The 23,059-nt window shown below is 33.3% G+C and overlaps 1 protein-coding gene across 2 annotated transcripts in view; it reads left to right on the forward strand.

Annotated features, from left to right (window-relative positions):
* The window catches only part of RNF128 (ring finger protein 128), a 103,179-nt gene extending 80,804 nt beyond the window's left edge, over nt 1-22,375 (forward strand). For both annotated transcript variants that reach the window (NM_024539.3, NM_194463.2), the window contains exons 3-7: nt 10,424-10,495; nt 13,277-13,359; nt 15,545-15,641; nt 16,425-16,593; nt 20,939-22,375. In NM_024539.3, coding sequence (NP_078815.3) covers nt 10,424-10,495; nt 13,277-13,359; nt 15,545-15,641; nt 16,425-16,593; nt 20,939-21,072 — 555 coding nt within the window. In that variant the 3' untranslated portion in view covers nt 21,073-22,375. The remainder of the gene's footprint in view (nt 1-10,423; nt 10,496-13,276; nt 13,360-15,544; nt 15,642-16,424; nt 16,594-20,938) is intronic.

Raw genomic sequence — 23,059 nt, forward strand, 5'->3', positions numbered from 1 at the left:
TTATTTCTTATTACCTTCATTGCTTCTGCCCCAGTCAAAGCCACCATAATTTCTTACCTCCTCCTCCCTTCAGGTATTCTCAGTATAACAGCGGAATGGTGTGCCACTTCTTTAGAAAGCTCAGTAGGGATTTAATGCTTTCAGATGAAAATACATTTTTATATGTACTGAGCAGTTTCTCTAAAGGCGATCGATTTCTGGTCACTTCATGTACTCTTCCTCCAATAAGTGAAAAGGAACTCAATTTATTTAGGGGGCGGAAGGAGCAGTGAGGATTTTTATATAGCAAGAAAGTTAATTTAATTTAGGAATAGATGAGAAATTGAAATTTTATTATAAAAACTTCATAAAGATTAGATACCAGCATATGGTAATAAGTGATGGTTATCTCAGTGTTTAAAGTTAATTGGCTTCTATCCTTCTCCTTAGAGAAGCAGCTTATCACATTGGTGGCAGGTTCAGCCTGATACTAGCTGCAGTCAAAAAGATGTTTAAAATTCCTGTACCAGGCCACTCAGTAGTTTCACACTGTGTTAATATTTGACATTTGTATATTGTGCGGTTTTTTATCTGCGAGGCTGGAAGGAAATTGGTGTCCAGTGTGACTAACTATTCAAAGGTTATAGTTACAATGACAAGAGTGTTTGGTTTGCATATGTTCATGGTGGGGTATGTGTTTCAGTATTCTCAGTGCTATAATAAATTTATTGACATGGCATTAAACCCCATCAGAAAATAATAAGGTTTATAAAGAACTTTGTCTGGTGTTACAGAGCTTCATTGGACATTTAGCTCTGGTCTACGCATTTAATTTTCATAGTTTATAATACATCTTATGATAATTAACCTCTGTAGAAATGGTCAAGAATAGCATTAAAACTTCTCATCTATTTGGAGAAGGCTTTTGAAGGGGCTTTTAAAAATTACTTAATGGACTATATCTGTTTATCCTTTGAGGACTAAAAGATTAAATATATGGCTGATAATCCTTTTTGCTTATAAATATTTGAGAGTGCTAGAATGTCATTTATATATTTAATTTTCATGACAGTATTAATTTTTAAAAGGTAGAGCTTAATGCATATGCTGATTATAATTATCACTAAACATTTAACTATATTATCTCCATTTTACTGGTAGAAATGATGATGAAGCTGAGTTATGGAAATTTGGCTTCATTAGAATGTTAGGCAAATTTAATATATTCAAGAATTTCTTCCTTCTGAAGGTTATGATACATGGTATATAATGTCAGGAAACTGATAACTGTAACCATAAATTCTGATGACTGAATGCTCAGATGAGCCCCCAGACAGAATAGCCTCATATGTTGTAGTGTGATGTGTAAGAACACATATCATCCCTGTTTTTTAGATACAAAGCTTTTAAACAGAACAAAAAAGTATCAATGGATTATAAATGAAAATAACATATTAGGCCTTATAAGTTAGTTTCATGTCCCTTCCGGGAACAACCCTAACTTGAGACAAGAAAGATTATGGGAAACCTTATGGCATACACAAATTAAACTACATTCAGGAGTGACCACTATACACTTGACTCTAGCATGGAGTACCAAACATTTTCGGGTACCGTAAATGTATCCTAACTGTATTCAAGCAGTTAATACTCAATAGCCACAATGCATGTGTTGGATTAAACATTGGCAAGTGAAACAAAAGAGGGCTGTAGGTGAAATAGGAGCTGGCCTAGATATAATGTGAAAAGCTGAATTTACTTTTAATGAAGAGTGGCTTTCAGAAGAAAAGGATTTACTAACTAAAATAGACAGATTAGAAGGAAATCATCTTCCAAGAGGAGGGAAAAGAATGGGAATCCACTTGCAAAGGTCATAAAGCTTTGATAAACTGATCACACAGACCCAACACATAATGCTAGAGAATGCTAGGAATCAATATTGGGAAAGAGAATATACTCTAACACAACAGAATCTATTAACTATTTTACTTAAAAGTGATCCCCAAGTAGCCATGGGGGTAATGACCTTCCATTTTTAGCTGTAGAAGCTCAGGCAGAGAATCTTTGAGACACATGCAGATCCTCAAATTTATGGAATTTTTTTTTGTAAAATTGCAACTTGCACTGCTGATCTCTGACTGATCTGGACCAAAGGATGGGCCAAAATAAGGCTAGTAGGAATAGAACTAATACTGAATGATACCCATGTACTCCCATGGGAGGGAAATGGCCTTGCTGTACAAAGTTAACAGGAACCTATAACTTGATAATAATATAAGTTGAGACAAATGATTGGCTTTGTCCCCAGCTAACATGGAACCTAGAAATGACAGAATGATTGCAACTGGTGACAGCATTTGTTCCTCATCATATCTGGCATATGGGCAAAGGCTAATTCTTCTAGGAAGGTTTAATAAATATTTCTGTGACATTTCCGGATTTTTTTTGTAACCAAACCAAACTGTATCATAACCATGCTCTGATATGGTGTAATACTGGTATTGTTAGTAAAATTCAACTATCTTATATAAATAAATCATATGGTAATCAAATATATTTGAGACATTGAACTAAAAACTCCTCACAGTGTGATACCAAGGGAGAGTGACTGGCATGAAGAAGAAGTAGAATGATTTAGTTCATTACTATATTAAATTGCTCTGTGCAAGTCTATCACAAAGTTCAAGTGGCCATAGATCAAGGGAATAAATGGATAATTAAATTGGTATAATAATGTAAAGATGTTTGTGATGGTCTTATAAACTGGATGAATTGTTCCTTTGAACCTGTTTCCACTCCTTGTTGGCTTCTGCAAGTATTAGATAGACTTGTGTTGTTCTTATGGCACCTTATATAAAAATACTGTGCTAACTGAACAGTATATACAGTTGACCCTTAAACAACTTGGGTTTCAACCACACGAATCCACTTTTACACGGATATTCTTCCACTTCTGCCACACCGGAGGCAGCAAGGCCAATATATCCTTTTCCTCCTCCCCAGTCTAGTGAATGTGAAGAAAGAAGGATGGAGGCCTTCATGATAATCCACGGCCTCTTAATTAAGATAAAATTTATTTTCTCTCACACCTGTCGTACCAGCACTTTGGGAGGCCGAGGCGGGTGGATCGCTTGAGCCCAGGAGTTCCAGACCAACCTGTGCAACATGGCAAAACCCTGTCCCTGCAAATAATAGAAAAATTAGCCAGGCATGGTGGCATGTGCCTGTAGTCCCAGCTACTTGGGAGGCTGAGGTGGGAGAATCACTTGAGCCCGGGAGGCAGAGGTTGCAGTGAGCCGAGATCATGCCACTGCTCTCCAGCCTGGGTGACAGTGAGACCCTGTCTTTAAATATATATTCTTTTCTTCCTTATGATTTTCTTAATAACATTTTCTTTTCTCTAATTTACTTTATTGTACAAACACAGTATATAATTTATATAACATACAACATAGGTGTTTATTAACTGTTTATGTTATCAGTAAGGCTTCCAGTCAACAGTAGACTATTAGTAGTTAAGTTTTGGGGGTGTCAAAAGCTATATGTGGAGTCTTGGCTGTGTGAGGGTCAGTGCCTATAACTGCCATGTTGTTCAAGGGTCAACTGTATACTGTATGTAGTACACTGTTTATAAATATTATGCTAACTGTATAGTAACTATACTGACTACTGTACCAACTGAAGTGATAATATATAAATACTGTACAAACAGTTACTGTACTGAAAGTTTTATTATAAAAAGGCTTTGACCAACAGGATGGATTGTGAGGAAAAAGGTAACACAACAGATGCAGTTGCTTACTCCTTCCATGTCCCCAAGGGAACCATGATTGGCCCCTGGCCAACCCTGGGAATGTGGCTCTCAAACTGGTCTTTATGTTAGTGATTGATAATTTTGTTATATACACCTGGAAAAATGGACCATGTTGTACCAGCCTGTCAGAGTTGCTTTTCACAACAATCAAGATTGATGATATCCTAGTTTCATTGTTGGGGTCCTCAGTTTCCGGCAACATGGCCAGTTGCTAGCAGGATGCACCTAGTAAGCAGTCCCTTCATCTGAGTCTTGGACCCCAACACTTAAATTGGTTCCCTGGGCAGAGATATGCCACACATTTCTGTAGTTTGCTGCCAGACAGAAAGAGCACTCCTGTGTGCTCTCAGATGAGGAAGGACTAGGCTACATTAATATTTTAAAATCTGTCCTTCAACTTAAAGCATTACTAAAAATTATCTAAACTATTTCTGGTTACATTAAGTTTTTTTCTACTCCACTAGTACACGAAATTATCTGGAAGATTCATTAAGTACCTGCACACTGTACCACTATTAACATATATACATTTGCAGTTGGTGTGTTCACATGTATGTATCTATTTCTGCCTACATTTGAGAGTAGTTCAGGGTCTTTTACAGAAACCATGAGAATTTTGACTCTTGTATAAGAAGAACAGATTAAATCCTTGTCTAAGTAAGACTTAGTTTTACAATATTTCTTCTGACTTTCTCACTGAACAAAAGAAAGCTCTTATAATGGGTCTCAGGATTTTTATATATTCACTTACTCTAATTTTAAATTTATACCACTAATTCTTTTTCCAGCTTTATTGAAGTATGATTGACAAATAAAATTTGTATATATTCAAGGTGTACAACATTATGATTTGATATACATATAAATTGTAAAATGATTGACATAAATTAATACATCTATCCCTACACAGTTACGTGTGTGTGTGTGTGTGTGTGTGTGTGTGTGTGTGTGTGTGTTGAGGATACTTAAGATCTACTTTCTTAGCAAATTTCAAGTAAACCATGCTGTAAATAAGATCCTCAGGATTTATTCATCTAAAAAATTTGAACTCATAGATGCAGAGAACAGAGAAGTGGTTGCCAGGGGGATTGGGGAAATGGGGAGATGTTAGTCAAACGATACAAACTTGCAGTTATACCACAAATTCTAAAGGGTGTTAATCACATTTCTTTGAAAAAAATGCTGTAATCTGAGCTATAACCTATCTACTGAGTCAAATTCACCCTTTCTTCACTGTTCTTCCTTATAGTGTATTTCCTTACACTGCTCACAGTTATGTTCTTCATGAGAGTGGTCTGCACTCTTGTTTATCCCCTCATCTGTAGTTCCATAGATTTATAGGAAGCTGTTTTATAGCCTGCACCTCCTCTTACCTGTAGGAATATTTTCACTCAAATATTGTGGATAGGTTTTTATTGAATAAAATGGATTTCTTTCAGTTCTCAGATACCTAAACAGCTACATGGCTCAGACTTTTATTTTGTCCTAGGAATATATCTGAGGAAAAGAATCCTCTTACTATAATTCTTGATTTTAAATATCTTGTGTTAAAACTCTTAGCCAAATTTTTAGGAAAATGTTTATTTTTAAAATATGGTGACTTAAGTACAGAAAAATCTAGTTTGCTTATATCTCTCTCCTTTCTTGCTTTTTGCACACCCTGTCCTCCATCAAGTAATTAGGTTTGACTACATACTTAATACTATTCATGTGGGTTTCAGTTAAGCTAAAAGCTGAACGCCCTGGGACCAAAAATCAGGCTGAAAAATCACCAGACTGAAACATATACTTTACCTAATTGGATATAAAGACACCAGTGAACTAGGTAGAATATCTTTGCTTTCACCATAATTTCAAAATTGAACATTGTAATAAAGAATGATCATTGGTTTGACATTTTATCATCAACCCCAATATATTCCCATTCAGAATCAAGAAAAAAAACCATGTAGTGGAGATTCTTCACTAACTAGAGCGAATGCAGCTTTTGATTAGTCAGAATAGTCACATTAAGCTTCTGTTAAGAAAATTGGCCAACAACCAGCTTCTTTGAATCAGTCTTCAGTTCTACTGCCAAATATTCTTAGACCAGGTATCTCTTAGGATTAGAGAGGAGGAGGGGAAAGGCAAAAGGCGTTTGACATCATATACTTGCTTTTTAAAATTCCCCAAATCACAGTAAATAGCCAGTTTGGGAAGAATTTTAAGATTGGATAATTGCTGGCTTTAAAGGGGTTTTTAAATTTCCTTCGTTTGTCTTCTTCACAAGAAATGTGAAGCCTCTTAAAGGCTTCTTTGCCATTACACAATGGAGGCAGTGTACAATAGTGGAGAGATCATGGGCTTTAAAGCCAGATAGAACCTGGGCTTGAATTGAATCACAGCTCTGAAGCTTACCAGCTGTCTGGACTTTAGTCAAGCTTCTGAACCTTACTTTTCTTGTCTATAAAACTTGGATATTAAAATAGCTATTTCACAATGTTGTTAATGATTAAACAAGATGACACATGTAAAAAGCTTACAACCTGACACATGGTAAAGGTTCAATTAATTTGTAAACCTTTCTTTCCCCAAACTTAATGGAGTAGAGACTTTTAATAATTGAAATGAGAAGTGTCTTGCATGAGAAAATCAAGAAAGTCTGTTTATATTTTCTAAATTCAGAAAATAATTTTTGAGCAAACTCTAGCCACTGGGGAATTTTTTTCTAAGTGACTAAGGCCCAGTCCTCCAGCTACTCAAGAGAGAAAGGCACATTAATAATACAATTACTGAACAAGATAAGAGGTGGAAATAATGTGTTACTGGAATTTATAGACTAAGGAAATTCTGATCTGGTAGCAAGGCATTGGAAAAGTATCTCATGTAATTTGTATAATGTAGATATGTTCTTGAAATTCTGTTTTTTAAGGAGTAAGGTACAAATTACAGTTCACATGGGGCATATTGTCTTTAAATGTTGAGGTATATTTGGGCACTGTAAAGTTGACATAATGTTGTTCAAACACGTGTTGAATATAATCTACTGGGCCCTAATGGTGTTCTCATATTTCAGTTTTTTTAAGAGGGAGGCTTGCATCTTGGAACTCTTGCTATCAGTGTCACAGTGAAATATCTTGAGTACTATCTTGAATATCGTGAGGCAGTTTTTTTGTGAGTGACTTTCCTTTAAGCTCTAAAAATAGTTTGTGCTTTTTATTAAATCACTTGTCTTGCATCCATATTTAAAGAAAATAGCTTTTCTTTATATCAGCCCAGTAGGAGCTATTGAAAATACTCAAATTTTCTTTTAAACACATTTTTATTCTAAGGCTGCTTTGTTAAACATTAGTTTATGCTATGCTGCAAATCTTTTAGAGATCCTTTATAATCAAATCTCTTGTCTAGTGTCTTCTGGCATTTTGGATTTGGCCCTGTTTTTTTATTTTTTGTATTCTCCCCCACCATCATTTTCTAGCATCGCCCTTAATGCAAGTTCTACTGTTCTCCTGGGCATAGACTCAGACATTACATACAAAGTTTCCCTTTGATCCCACACTTCAAATTAATTTGCATTATAGTCTTGGCTATAATTAAGAAAGTTATATATTTGGCATTAATGCCTAATAAATTGATAAGCACTATCACTGGAGATTCAGACATTTATATTGTATTGAATCAAATATTTTGCAATGAGAAATCAGACTGTATAGACTGAATCAAGTAAATACCCTAGAGAGGTATCAATTCCTTATGAGAGCTTTCCCCAACTGTGTGATACAGCTTGTTGCCTAAACCTAAATTAGAATTGCTTTAAGCACAAAGAGCAAAACGATTGTGAAAGACATCATCAACTACATTACATTTTTTCCCCTTTCTTCTTGCTGGCTCTATTTTTTTATCATTTGCATTTTTCTCATCTCGATGTCCAACTGACTCATGATCTATGTGGAAAGAAAGTAGTGAAGTGTAGGTGTGTGGGCCAGGGCCAGGACCCTGTAGGCATACAGGTGGAAGGATTGCCACAGTTTGACAGACCCTAGAATCCAGGAGCTAGAAAAACATCAAAAGACAGATGAGTTATGGATGGTTGTATTGTAATGGACTCTTGGAATATGAAGAGCAGAGTTCCAGTACCAGCTTTATTATTTAGATGCTGCATTCCCTTTTGAATAAGTTATTTTACTTTTTCAACCCTCCACTTGAGCATCTCTAAAATGAGGATATTACCTTCTTCTGGGGGTTGTTGTGAGGATTAAATGAGGTAATGGATATAAAAAATATATTTTAAACTGTATAACAACTGTATATTGTAAGGAAATGGTAGGAGTAGCTTCCTACTCCATGCTACAGTCAAAACAGATAGCTACTTTGATATAACTCTGGACTTCAGTGGGGCTGACACTAGCTCTGATATTTCAAGCAAGACATTCTTCCTCTTTGAGCATCAGTTTTCTTCTCTGTCTGATTAGATGTCGGGCTCGGTAATCTAAAGATCCTAGGTGTACCTTTGTTCACTGTCACTCTATTATTATCTTACAAGTAACAAAATAGAAGGGAAGATATTTGTGCTGAAATTAAGTCCCATCATAGAATTTTTTTAGTTCACAATTATGTCCCAAAATGGGAGTGAAAGTGCCTTGATTATCACCTCTTTTCCTTTTTAGGGTCTAGGCCTTCCTATTCACTGTTTCTGTTAGACTTATTTGCTGGTCAGGTAATAATCTGAGAGGTTTCTGCTTTTCCTGTGACAGCAAAGAAATACTTTGGCTAATATTCTCCTTGGCATTAAGCTAAATATCTTCCACAAAATGATATCTTATATAGGAGACAGGTTTGGGCATCAATGAGATTCCTCACCTACTGATACTTATAGATTCTTACCTTCCAAAATATATTTGCTACAAATATTTGTAGCATTTGTAGCAAATATATATTGGCAAGTACCTGTTATGCTTATTGATGAATGGTAGTTTACATTTTGTGTAATAAACATTTTATTGAGTATCTGCTATATGCCAGACATTATACTAAATACTTACATTATCTCTAATTTTCATGTAACATAAATGTCAGCTGGGGACGGGGGTACATATAGGAGGGAAGCTGCTTACATTCTCCCAAAGGTCTGGGGGCCTACTTTTTGCCGAATTTCTAAGTTTGTTCATTTTACAGTTCAAAATAGAAAGATCACTTATCTTGCCATGCTGCACATGCTACCATTATATTCCACACATGTATTAGTCGGGTTTGTGTTGCTGTAAAGGAATACCTGAGGCTGGGTAATTCATAAAGAAAAGAGGTTGATTTACCTCATGGTTCTGCAGGCTATACAAGAAGCTTGGCGCCAACCTCCGCTTCTGGTGAAAGCTTCAGGAATCTACCTATCATGGCAGAAAGGAAAGGGGAAGCACGCGTGTCACAGGGAGAGAGAGGGAGCAGGCGCCAGGCTCTTTTAAACAACCAGCGGGAACTGAGAACTCACTCATTACCATAAGGATGGCACTAAGCCCTTCATGAGGGATCCTCCTCCATGACCCAAATACCTCCCACCACGCCCCACCTCCAACATTGGGGGTCACACTTCAATGAGATTTGGAGGGGACAAATATTCACCATTTCAACACAGCATCTACCAAGTGTCATACTTAGCCTCTACTTCAATTCATATGTATATTATATTCACTACTTCAATTCATATGTATATTATATTCACTTGAGGCATTCCTGTCTGTAGTAGACCTTAGTGAAGGGGAATGAAGTATTTGCAGCATCACCAGTAACTTCAAATTGACAAATATCTTAACAAATATCACCTGGGATTTTTTCCTCTGGCTAGTTCACCATACATAGAGGGACAATGTGTTATTGAACTGTATAGACTCTCTTTATAGTCTTTCCCTCACCTGGTAGATTCTTCCCACACCCCAACTTCACTTCTGACTCAATTATGCATAATGTTTTAGTTTTTATTCCATAAATGAGCCTGTGGCTTGCTTTTGCATATCCAGACACATCTAGATATATGCTCAGTGAAACAATAAAAGGCGACCACTCTCAGAATCAATCTTCTTCATTAAGCAATCGTGGTTATAAGCACCAATATTTTTCTTAATACCAAACAGTGTAAAGGTTGGTACTACCCTCATTTTATAGATAAGTAAACAAGCTCAAAGAATTAAATGACTCGTGCAGGGTTATTCATTGAGTAAGTGATAAAGTCAGATTTTGAACCATTGGAATCCAAATCCTATGCACTTTCCACCAAACAAGACACGATTCAAAAAGGAAATTGGAAAAAAAATGCATATTAATGTCCTCTGAGCTTGCAAATAGGAAGATTGCTTTGAAAATTCATAGTATTTGAATCCATTAGGGGTGGGGGAAATGTATTTTTACCATTATGGTCCCAACAGTATTGTTTAAGAAAGTAGGGAAACATAAGTTAAGTAAAAAGTCTCAGTAACTTGGAAAATCCTGCCTTATATCAGGTAAATGGGACATTTATTATGGCTAATTAAGTTTTATCTTTTAAAATTGATTTGTACATTGACTTTTACCTGATAAATATTTATTGATCCTCTCTATCTTTTTCATCATACTTCTTTTAAAAAATAGTTTTTCTAATACCTGCTGTTTTTTTTTTTACAGAGGCAATTAAAGGCAGATGCTAAAAAAGCTATTGGAAGGCTTCAACTACGCACACTGAAACAAGGAGACAAGGTACATTCATGACTTTTAAATGCTATTTATTTTAAAGCAGTGCTACCAAGCCATTGTTCAGGCTAAATGTTCTTCCTAAGTATGCTTTTATTGGCATTTATGAACCTTATTGACTTTATATGCATTTGATTCTAGAGGTTGGCTGAATAATGGCCTCCCAAAGATATCTAAGATAACTATTCCCTTGAACCTGTGCATATTACCTTATATGGCAAAAAGGACTTTGCAGATATGATTAAGTTAAGGGTCATGAGATGGGGAGATTATCCTGGATTATCCAGATAGATTCAAAATATAATTGCAGTGTCCTTATAAGAGGGAGAGAGAGGGAGATTTGACCACAGTACAGTAAGGGATGTGACAAGGGAAGCAAGAGGGTGGGGTGATACAAGAAAGAGGCAAGGAGCTAAGGGATGCAGACAGCCTCTAGAAGCTGGGAAAGATAAGGAGAGGGATTCTCCCCTGGTGCCTCCAGAAGGAGTGCAGTATTGCCAATGCCTTGGTTATAGACTTCGGATTTCCAGAACAGTAAGAGAATAAACTTGTGTTGTTTTAAGCCACTGAATTATGATAATTTGTTACAGCAGCTACAGGAAACTAATACAATGCTTTAGTGTTACTTTGGTTGAATACGCATTTTCAGATTTAGGACAGTTGAAAACTACCATTCATGGGTAAAACATGTATTTCAAAAAATAGCTATAGAACTTATGGAAATAATACACCATTTTAAATCTTACCAAAGTCATGAAACTGTAAAACACTAATGAAAGAGATAAATCAAAGAAGATCTAAATAAATGGAAACATATACCATGTTCATGGGTCAGAAGACTTGCTGTTGTTAAGATGTCGGTTCCCCACCAAACTAATTTATGGATTTGATGCAGTTTCAATAAAAATCCTAGTGTAAATCTTTTATAGAAATTGACAGGCTGATTCTAAGCTTAGATGAAAATGCAAAAGAACTAGAATGAACAAAACAATTTTGATAAAGAACAACTTTGGATGATTCATGCTACCTGATTTCAAGAATTATTTTAAAGTCACAGCAGTCAAGATAGTGTCGTATTGGAAAAAGGATAGATTTATAGATCAAAGAAACAGAAGAGAGAGTACAGAAATAAACCCATATATATATGGTCAGTTGATTTTCCATAAAAGTGCAAAAGCAATTCAATGAAGAAAGGATAGCCTTTTCAGGAGGATAGCCCTTTGTTGGCTATCCATATGCAGTGATTGGATATCCTTAAGCAAAAAACAAGCAAACAGACAAAAAAGAACTTAAATCCATTCTTCATACCCTATGTAAACATTATTTCAATAGATCATAGACCTTAACATAAAACCTAGAACTATGAAATTTTTAGAACAAAACGTTAAAGAAAAATATTTTCATGACTTGGGTGACAAATATTTCTTAGATATAACTCCAAAAACAAGTCCAAAAAAGAAAAAAGTTGATACATTTGGCCTTGTCAAAATTAAGAATTTCTGTTCTTTGAAAGGCACTGTTAAAAGAAGGAAAAGATAAGGTACAGACTGGGAGAAAATATTTGCAAATCATATGTCTGTTAAAGGGCTGTACCCAGAATATAAAGAACTCTTAAAACTTAACAGTAAGAATACAAACAACCTAATAGAAAACTGGCAAGCAAAACAGACAATTCACCAAAAAAATATATATATGAATGGCAAATAAACACATAAAAGATGTTCAACATCATTAATAATTAAAGAAATACAAATTAAAGCCACAATGAAATACAACTACGCATTCATTAGAATGGCTAAAATGCATACAACTGAAAATACCAAGAGCTGGGCGAGATTTGGAGCAACTGGTACACTCATTCATTTGCTGGTGAGAATGCAAAATGTATAGCCAATTTGAAAATGTTTGGCAGTTCCTTATGAAGTTAAAAATACACTTACCATAGCACCTAGCAATCTCACTACTAGATATTTACCCTAAAGGGAGAAAAAATCTACGTTCACATAAAAACACAACTGTTCATAGCAGCTTTATTCATAATTGTCAAATACTGGAAAAAAGCCAAATATTGTTCAACTGGTGAATGGATAAACTGTGGTACATACATATCATGGTATACTATTTAGCAATAAAAGTGTGATGGGAATCCCATTGATACATACAGCATTATGGATGAATCTCAAATGCATTATACTAAGTTTAAAAAGCCAGACTCAAAAGCTAGATAATGCATGATTCCATTTATATGACATTCGGGGAAAGCCAAAACTATAAAAACAGATCAGTGGTTGCCAGGAGGTGGGGATGAGAGGAAAGGTTAACTACAAAGAGTTTAGAGGAGTTTGTTGGGAGTAATAGCACTATTCTATATCTTGATTGTGATAAGGATTAAGTGACGACATATTTTTCAAAACGTGCAGAACTGTACACTAAAAGGGTGAATTTTACTGTATGTGAATTATACCTTAATTTTTTAAAAATGAGAAAAGTTATAGAGCTTGCACAAATGGTATTTTATATATCCTAAATCAGGAAAAATAAATCAGTGCTACATGTTTCCCTTTGTTCTGTTCCCCTTTTGTTTCAGTTTATTCTTTTACCTTTTTAAAGTCTGGATACTTTTAAATCACCTTTGGGAACTTTACAGTTACATAATCATTCAGTGATATAATGCTCCTCCTTTTATAGGAATTTAGGCTGGTTAAGTACATGTATGTTCTGATCTTGTTCTGTAGTTTAATGTATTTTTTCTTATCTGTCAGAGTAACAATAACTACTTGCTTGTAGGAAATTGGCCCTGATGGAGATAGTTGTGCTGTGTGCATTGAATTGTATAAACCAAATGATTTGGTACGCATCTTAACGTGCAAGTAAGTTTGATTTTCTTCTATATCTTCAATAAAATAGCTGACCCACAAAAATGACTGTGATGGAAGAAAACTATTTTGAATATTTCCAAATTAATGTAAAAAATGTTTATTTTTTAACTTATCTTCATTTAAATATAGAATGGTTTATTTTTATTTTTATTCATTTCTTAATACCACTGAAATTGGTATAAGTCTAATTGTAATCTGCTTCAATTTGTTCTAAACTAATTCCATAGAAAACTGAGAACCTAGCCAGCACAATTGATATATATGTATTATATATATATTATATATAGTATATATACTATATAATATGTATTAATATTATATATACTATATATAATATATATTATATACTATATATAATATATATTATATATTATATATAATATATATTATATATAATATATAATATATAATATATATTATATATAATATTATTATAATTATAATATATATAATATTATTATAATTGTAATTATATATTATAATTATAATTATATAATTATAATTATAATATATATAATATGTATTATATATTAAATATAATAATATATTTATATATTATATAGTATATATCTTACATAGTATATTATGTATAATACATATACTCTATATTATATATACTATATAATATAGTATATAATATATAATTATATATACTATATAATATAGTATATAATATATAGTTATATATAAATATATTTTATATATAGTATATTTTAAATATAGTATATAATATACATAGTATACTATATAATATATATACTATATATAATACATATTTTATATAATTATATATACTGTATATACTATAATATATAATTATATATACTACATATAATATGTATTATATATTATATATTATATAATGTATAATATATTATATATTATACATTATATACTATATACTGAGTATATATACTATATAGTGTATAGTATATAATATATGTATATGTACATGTACATATATATACTATATGTACAGTATATATACTATATACTGAGTATATATACTATATAGTGAGATAATATACCATATATTATCTATTATATAGTATACAATAGTGTATATATACTATATAGTATATAGTATATATATACTATATACTATATATACTATATACTATATAGTATATAGTGTATATATACTACATATATATAAATTGTGTATATATTATACATATATGTAAATTGTATATATATAATACATATATATAAATTCCAACTAAGGAGTGAACACTTCCAAATAGATGCTCATAACTTGATTTCATTTTATTTTTTCTTGATAGATTAGAATAAATTTAAAATTAATCCAGTACTATCCTTATATTTATGTGTATTTATATTATATTATGTATATATGTATATTATATATTTATGTATATATATGTACATTATATAATATATATACTCTACATAATATATAGTATATATTATATACATTATACACTATATAATATAGTGTATATATTATATACATTATACACTATATATAATATAGTGTATATATTATATACATTATACACTATATACATTATATATAATATATACTATATAATATTATAATATGTAGTATATATAGTTACACATGTAAATATAAGGACAGTACTGGATTAATGTTAAATTTATTCTAATCCATCAAGAAAAAAATAAAATGAAATCATGCATCTGTTTGAAAGTGTTCATTCCTTAGTTTTTTAAATTATCCCTCTCCTGAAGGTTGTTCTTAACACTACTTCTTTTAGCTATTTAATACAATAGTGATGCTCTTGGAACATATCACATTGCCTAAAGCATCAGTACAGTGTTGTTGTACTCAATACTATATTGGACTATATTATTGAGAATGACTGTACCATTTATCAGTTAGGGAATTCTAACTGTTTAAGATTTGAAATAATGAACAAAGTCTTAGGTCAGGTAGTGTCCTAGCCATTTTCAAATGAGTACTGAAAATATTTTTTTTTGGAGCTAGAGTAATGAGGCTTTTACATTTAAAAGTACCGTATTATGGAATTTCCAAATTTTGTTTCTGTGACTCCTTCATTTTATGAATAGTGTGTTTAAAAGGAAAGGCATCCATTCAAAGACTAAATAAAGTTACACTAAGTAATCTGTTAATATATATTAGGTAAAGTGTTGCTACTTTACAACTGATAATTATGTTTTTTTCCTGAATTAGCCATATTTTCCATAAGACATGTGTTGACCCATGGCTGTTAGAACACAGGACTTGCCCCATGTGCAAATGTGACATACTCAAAGCTTTGGGAATTGAGGTAAACATTAATATGTTATTTATATGAAGAATATATGCCTGGGCTTTGGAGAAAATAACAAAATAACATCCTTATTTTTTCGCTATGTAATACACCATACTTATAGTTTATACCTAAAACCAGACATATTTATATCATATAGACAATGAGGTGCCATCTTGGGCCATCTCCATTTTCCTTCTTCCTCCCTCTTTCCAAATAGACTCATTATTTGGTCAGAATTTGAAATGATAACCATATAAACCACCAACTTGGCATCCCTCTTTCTGTTTTTGTAATCTTTTACTATTGCATAGTGACCAAACTTGTAGTTAAATAAGCAGACATAATTTGAGAAAGCATAATAAATATTAAATTATAATTTTATATTTGGTAAATGAAAAAAAGGCCTATTTTCAAGATACAACATAAAATCGAGCTCAAATCTTGACTTGGGAAGGTACATAGATGACAATGATTCTCAAGTTCCATAGGGGACAGCATGATGTTTTTTTAGGGCCTAACTTGTACCCAGCATTATTTTATGAAGTGCTGGTATCACCCAAATGAACATACCAGATGAGAGTGCACTCCGCCTATAGCATCTTTCATCCCATTGGTGGACCCAGTTACTCTGTTTTGACTGGGGCTAACAAGAGACTTGTGATCATCAAAAGGGATCATAGGTTTAAAAGGTTAAGAAATATTGCTCCAATGAGTCACCTATAAAGAAACTTTGAAGTGATATGTCGAGGAAAAGCGTGTACACTGAGAGGCTTTTAATTTGTTACATGTTCTTTAAAGGTGGATGTTGAAGATGGATCAGTGTCTTTACAAGTCCCTGTATCCAATGAAATATCTAATAGTGCCTCCTCCCATGAAGAGGATAATCGCAGCGAGACCGCATCATCTGGATATGCTTCAGTACAGGGAACAGATGAACCGCCTCTGGAGGAACACGTGCAGTCAACAAGTAAGCATCATACTAAAGGTTAACGAGTGCCCTGCAATCCATTGTAGATCATATGCCTGTATAGTACTCTTGCTTTTTAGCGTTTGTTCCATTCAGCCATTATCATGATCCAGGTTTTTTCTACTTAAAATAATGCCGTGAAGGATGCACCCCTACCTTAATATACATATATTCAAATGTATTTGAAATAGATGAAATGCATCAGAGTGGGGATTATTTACAAAAGAAAGATTTATTGGAAAGCTTCTCTCTGATGCATTTAAATCTTGGCTTATTAACTAATTACAGAGGGTAAGGAGAAACTTTAAACTTTAGGAGCCATTGTTTATTGCAGATAAAGCAGAAATTAAAATAAAGGAGTTCTGAAATGATAAAACAGAATTCAATTTATAAAAGTTTGATTTATACCCAACTTCTCTGGAACCCATGTTTTGCAAGTAGGAAACTGTTTAAGAATGGTATGTGCTGCCACCTGTTGACTATTTACCGTGAAATGAACAAACTGTTAGAAACTAAAATTGAATATATCATTTTCAAAATTCATGTGAATTTGTATTGCAACTTAGTAATTTTATGCCAAATGAGAAATTTTAGGGAGTTCTGTTTTTCCCTATAAAGATAAAACCCCTATAAAAATTATTTTCCCTTTCTTTTACCTCAATCTTTTCCATGTTTTTGTTGGTTTGAAAGTCTTCTCTCAATCCTCATTTTGAGATAATTTAATTCTAGTATAAAAGTAAAACAAAAACTGATTGTCAAGATGACTTATGAAACTTTCAGCTTCCTATTATATAAACCTTTGTCCTCTATAGGCTTATCAGTGCCATAGATACCACTTCTGAAGATATCACAATGAATATAACCACACAAAGGCAAACTTTGTATTTCTTATATCTAATCTTCAGACATTCCCTTGAATATAAACTAGTTATAAGTATCTTAATAATCTGTGGATTATTCTACCTGTAATAGAGAATCATTGTCTGATTGCCCCAGATGATCTTGTACTCTCATAATTGTGTGGTAATAGAATTCAGTAAAGATAAAAGAGAGTGTACGAGATAATTTATTGCTAGTCTTTTAAAAAACAACATTCCAATCTACTCTTTTTGTGTTCTGTTCTTCTGTGGGTAGGGGTGGGGTGGGGGAAAAAGGTAAGCACAACAGATTTTGCAGAGATTTGAAAAGCAAATGAAATAATGATCCATGTTTCTCCTCCTGTATTCTTAATTTGGATGATAGTAATACTCACCCAACCGCCCCAAACCAGAAACTAGGGACATCCCAAATTCTTCCCACTTCCCCTTCTGTGTTCTCAATTCTGTCCCCTAATTTCCAACCTTAATTCCACAGTCATAGTTTGAGCCACTATCTTCTCTTTGCCTATTCCTTCCATTCTTCCTTACCCAAGAAGTTAGGGGAGCCCAGTATAACTCCTGTTTCTCCTTTAAGACTGACACCTCTTTGAGAAGCCTCTCTTGACTAGATGTGATGGCCCTACTGTTGGCTTCCATAGAACTTCGATCATTGCACTTACTACACTGAGTTGTATTAAAACTTTTAAAGTTCTTTTGGATAAGAACAGTGTCTTATATTCACTGTTGTCTATCCAGCACCCAGCACATAGTAGATACTCAAATTTATGTTGAATGAATTACCACTTAAACCAGATTTAATTTTGTCTGGGATTACATATTACTAGTTTAAGAATCTTGCGTATTAGCCATTGATTCTTATGGTGATAGTTGATTTGCATAACTTTGTAAATACACATAGTTCATGTCGTGTGTCACATCATTGGGCTAAGTTCTATTAGAGCACTGGTTTTCAAACTTAAGTATTCATTGAGTCACTTGGAGGGCTTATTAAAACGGAAAGGTCACCACCAGAGTTTCTGACTCAGTGGGTTTTGGGTGATGCCTAGGAATTTTCGTTTCTAACAGGTTCACAGGTGATACTGATTCTACTAGTCCAGGGACCACATTTTGAGAACCATTGAATAAGGGCCCTACTGTCAATCCTGGCTATACATAAAAATCACCTGGAGAGATTTTAAACTTTGCTGATGTTTGGACTGTACCTCAGAGCAACTGTGATTTAACATGAGGTGCAGGGCCTGGGCACAGGTATTTTTTATTTTAATTTGAAATGATTTCAGACTGACTGACAAAAACGTTTCAAAAATAATACAAAGAATGCCCATATACCATTCACCCAGCTTCTCCAAATGTTAACATATAACCATATACAATTATCAAAACCAGGAAATTTGCTGATAAAATGTTATTATCAAAACTATAAACTTGACTCAAATTTCACCAACTGGCCCACTAACGTCCTTTTTCTGTCCCAGGATCCCACATTGCATTTAATTGTCATGTGTCCTTAGTCTCCAATCTGTGACACTTCTTCAGTCTTTGTCTTTCATGACCTTGACACTTCTGAAGATTACTGGTCAGTTATTTTCTAGAGTGTCCCTCAATTTGGGCTAGTCTGCTGTTTCCGAGTGATTAAATTTATTGTCCATTTTTGTCAAGAATACTACAGAAGTGATGTTGTGCCCCTTTCAGTGCCCCCATATCATACCAGGAAGCACGTGATGTTGGTGTCTTATTAGTGATGATTCAAACTTTGCCCACTTGGTTGAGGTGGTGTCTGCCAGGTTTCTCCCTTTAAAGTTACTATTTTTCCCTTTGTAATTATTAAATATCTTATAGAGAGATACTTGGAGACTACACAAATGTCCTGGTACTTATCATACTTCTACCCACTACTTTTAGCAATCATTGATGCTTCTTGCTTGCAGTAATTATTGAAGTATTTACCAAATGGTGATTTTCTGTTTGCATCATTCTTTGTACATTTATTGATTAAACTTCTAATATAAGGAAGAGCTCTTCCTTCTCCTCCATTTATTTATTGAGTTATTTATTTATTGTACTATAGGATCCTAGACGTTTCTTTCATTCTATAATATCATTCTCATCGTTTATCCCTTGCTCATATCATCCTAGATTTGGTCATTGGGAACTTGTTCAAGTTGGTTTTTGTGTTCTTTCAACTTTCTTACTTTCTGGTAACACAAGGTGTTCTAGGTCTGGGATTAGCCAACTTTTTCTGTAAGGGGCCACATAGTAAATATGTTAGGCTTTGAAGGCCTTAAGTCTTCATTTTCATACTCTTATTTTTTTGTTTTTGTTGGTTTGTTTTACAACCTTTTACAACCATGATAAGCACTTTTAGCTATGGTTTGTAGGCTGGAGTTTGCTGGCCCCTAGGCTAAAATCTAGGTTAACCTTGTACTTTCCCTCTCCTAGCCCTAGAATCAGCCACTTCTTCAGGAGGCCTTTTACTGGAGAATAGTATTTCAAAACCAGGATCTGAGCAACGGGCATGCTTATTGCTACCGGGGTGTCATTGCTATTGGCCCTTTTAGTGAACAAGACTAGAAAATATATGTATTTACTCTCACAAATATACACATACATATACATTATTTCTCTATCTGTCATTTTATCTATCTATCTGAAAAACAATGACCCTACTAATACATCTGATTCCAATCCCACACTACAGGGTTCATTCTAGCCTCCCCCTTTATTTATTTGTAACTCCTTTCTCCGACAGTGAAAGGAGAAATATTCTTTTTATCCACAGTATTTTTACTTATTTGTTCAATTATAGAATATACATAAAATAGTTTCAGCATTGCTAACACATACCCCTGTGTAAAACAATGTCAGTAACTAGTGTACAGTTCTTTTTGTTTTTAGCCTTACAGGTTAGAGTCAAAATACTGTTTTCCAAAGTTATTTAAGTTTAGTTGTTTTCTTCCCCATTCTCTTCACATGGTTATGTATTTCATTTATAATACAATTAAGTTCATTTATTACTGTTTGTATTCAATTCAATTTTGGGCATCCTTCCAACTTCCTGGTTGATTTTTTAAATCTGTCTATCTATATTTATGTGAATGAAGAAGCACTGGTAATTTTTTAAGTGCCCAGGTGATTGAAATGTATAGCCAGATTTAACAGCTTGTTATATTTAAGGTAAGGAAGAAGTAGAAGACATAATTTTTGCTCTTAAGGAGGCTATAATCTAGGTAGAAATAAGCACATGTACGTGAATCAAAAAAGCAATTATAAATCAATATAATAATGCCATATGTGCTTTATGTAAGATATAGCATAAATCATATAATTATTAGAGGTACAGGGAATGAATATGGTAATCAGTGTATGTTGAAATTAAATAAGAAAGACTTCTTGGAAGTAAATGTTGAATTTTGTCTTAAAAGAGGAGAGGGGCAAAATCATCCTAAAATTGCTATTTCTTTTTAAAGATGAAAGTCTACAGCTGGTAAACCATGAAGCAAATTCTGTGGCAGTGGATGTTATTCCTCATGTTGACAACCCAACCTTTGAAGAAGACGAAACTCCTAATCAAGAGACTGCTGTTCGAGAAATTAAATCTTAAAATCTGTGTAAATAGAAAACTTGAACCATTAGTAATAACAGAACTGCCAATCAGGGCCTAGTTTCTATTAATAAATTGGATAAATTTAATAAAATAAGAGTGATACTGAAAGTGCTCAGATGACTAATATTATGCTATAGTTAAATGGCTTAAAATATTTAACCTGTTAACTTTTTTCCACAAACTCATTATAATATTTTTCATAGGCAAGTTTCCTCTCAGTAGTGATAACAACATTTTTAGACATTCAAAACTGTCTTCAAGAAGTCACGTTTTTCATTTATAACAATTTTCTTATAAAAACATGTTGCTTTTAAAATGTGGAGTAGCTGTAATCACTTTATTTTATGATAGTATCTTAATGAAAAATACTACTTCTTTAGCTTGGGCTACATGTGTCAGGGTTTTTCTCCAGGTGCTTATATTGATCTGGAATTGTAATGTAAAAAGCAATGCAAACTTAGGCGAGTACTTCTTGAAATGTCTATTTAAGCTGCTTTAAGTTAATAGAAAAGATTAAAGCAAAATATTCATTTTTACTTTTTCTTATTTTTAAAATTAGGCTGAATGTACTTCATGTGATTTGTCAACCATAGTTTATCAGAGATTATGGACTTAATTGATTGGTATATTAGTGACATCAACTTGACACAAGATTAGACAAAAAATTCCTTACAAAAATACTGTGTAACTATTTCTCAAACTTGTGGGATTTTTCAAAAGCTCAGTATATGAATCATCATACTGTTTGAAATTGCTAATGACAGAGTAAGTAACACTAATATTGGTCATTGATCTTCGTTCATGAATTAGTCTACAGAAAAAAAATGTTCTGTAAAATTAGTCTGTTGAAAATGTTTTCCAAACAATGTTACTTTGAAAATTGAGTTTATGTTTGACCTAAATGGGCTAAAATTACATTAGATAAACTAAAATTCTGTCCGTGTAACTATAAATTTTGTGAATGCATTTTCCTGGTGTTTGAAAAAGAAGGGGGGGAGAATTCCAGGTGCCTTAATATAAAGTTTGAAGCTTCATCCACCAAAGTTAAATAGAGCTATTTAAAAATGCACTTTATTTGTACTCTGTGTGGCTTTTGTTTTAGAATTTTGTTCAAATTATAGCAGAATTTAGGCAAAAATAAAACAGACATGTATTTTTGTTTGCTGAATGGATGAAACCATTGCATTCTTGTACACTGATTTGAAATGCTGTAAATATGTCCCAATTTGTATTGATTCTCTTTAAATATAAAATGTAAATAAAATATTCCAATAAAAGTTTGTGTCTGGTGTTAGTTTAACTATCTGTATTAGGATGTTTCTTGTGTCACTATAAAGGAATACCTGAGACTGGGTAATATATAAGGAAAACAGGATTAATTGGCTCATGGTTTTATAAGCTGTATAGTAAGCATGGGGCCAACATCTGCTTCACTTCTGGTAAGGGCCTCAGGAAGTTTACAGTCATGATGGAAGGCTAAGTGGAAACACATCACATGACAAGAGCAGGAGGAAGAGAGAGAGAAGCAAGAGGTCCCAGACTCTTAAATAAGCAGATCTTGCATGAACTGAGTGAGAACTCACTTATCACCAAGGGGATGATGCTAAATCATTCATGAGGGATCCACCTTCATGATCCAATCACCCCCACCAGGCCTCACCCCCGACATTGAGAATCACATTTCAACATGAGATTTGGAAGGGACAAATATCCAAACCTTATCACTGTCCATACACTAATTTTTCTCATATAATATGTCTGGATTTGGGAGATAAGAAAATGGTTGGATATAAATGGTCATTTATATATTTGATCAATAAACACTGAAACATTAGTATGATATATTTACATATTACATAGAGAGGAATGGATGCCATTGTAGTATCATTCAACTTACCATGAATTATTGTTAAATGTCAGCCAGGTAAAAAGGGTTTGACCAGTAATAATATAACATTAAAATAGACCTTGATGCCAGTCCATC

The sequence above is a fragment of the Homo sapiens genome, chromosome X (genome assembly GCF_000001405.40).
Source record: "Homo sapiens chromosome X, GRCh38.p14 Primary Assembly".
Lineage (NCBI taxonomy): Eukaryota > Metazoa > Chordata > Mammalia > Primates > Hominidae > Homo > Homo sapiens.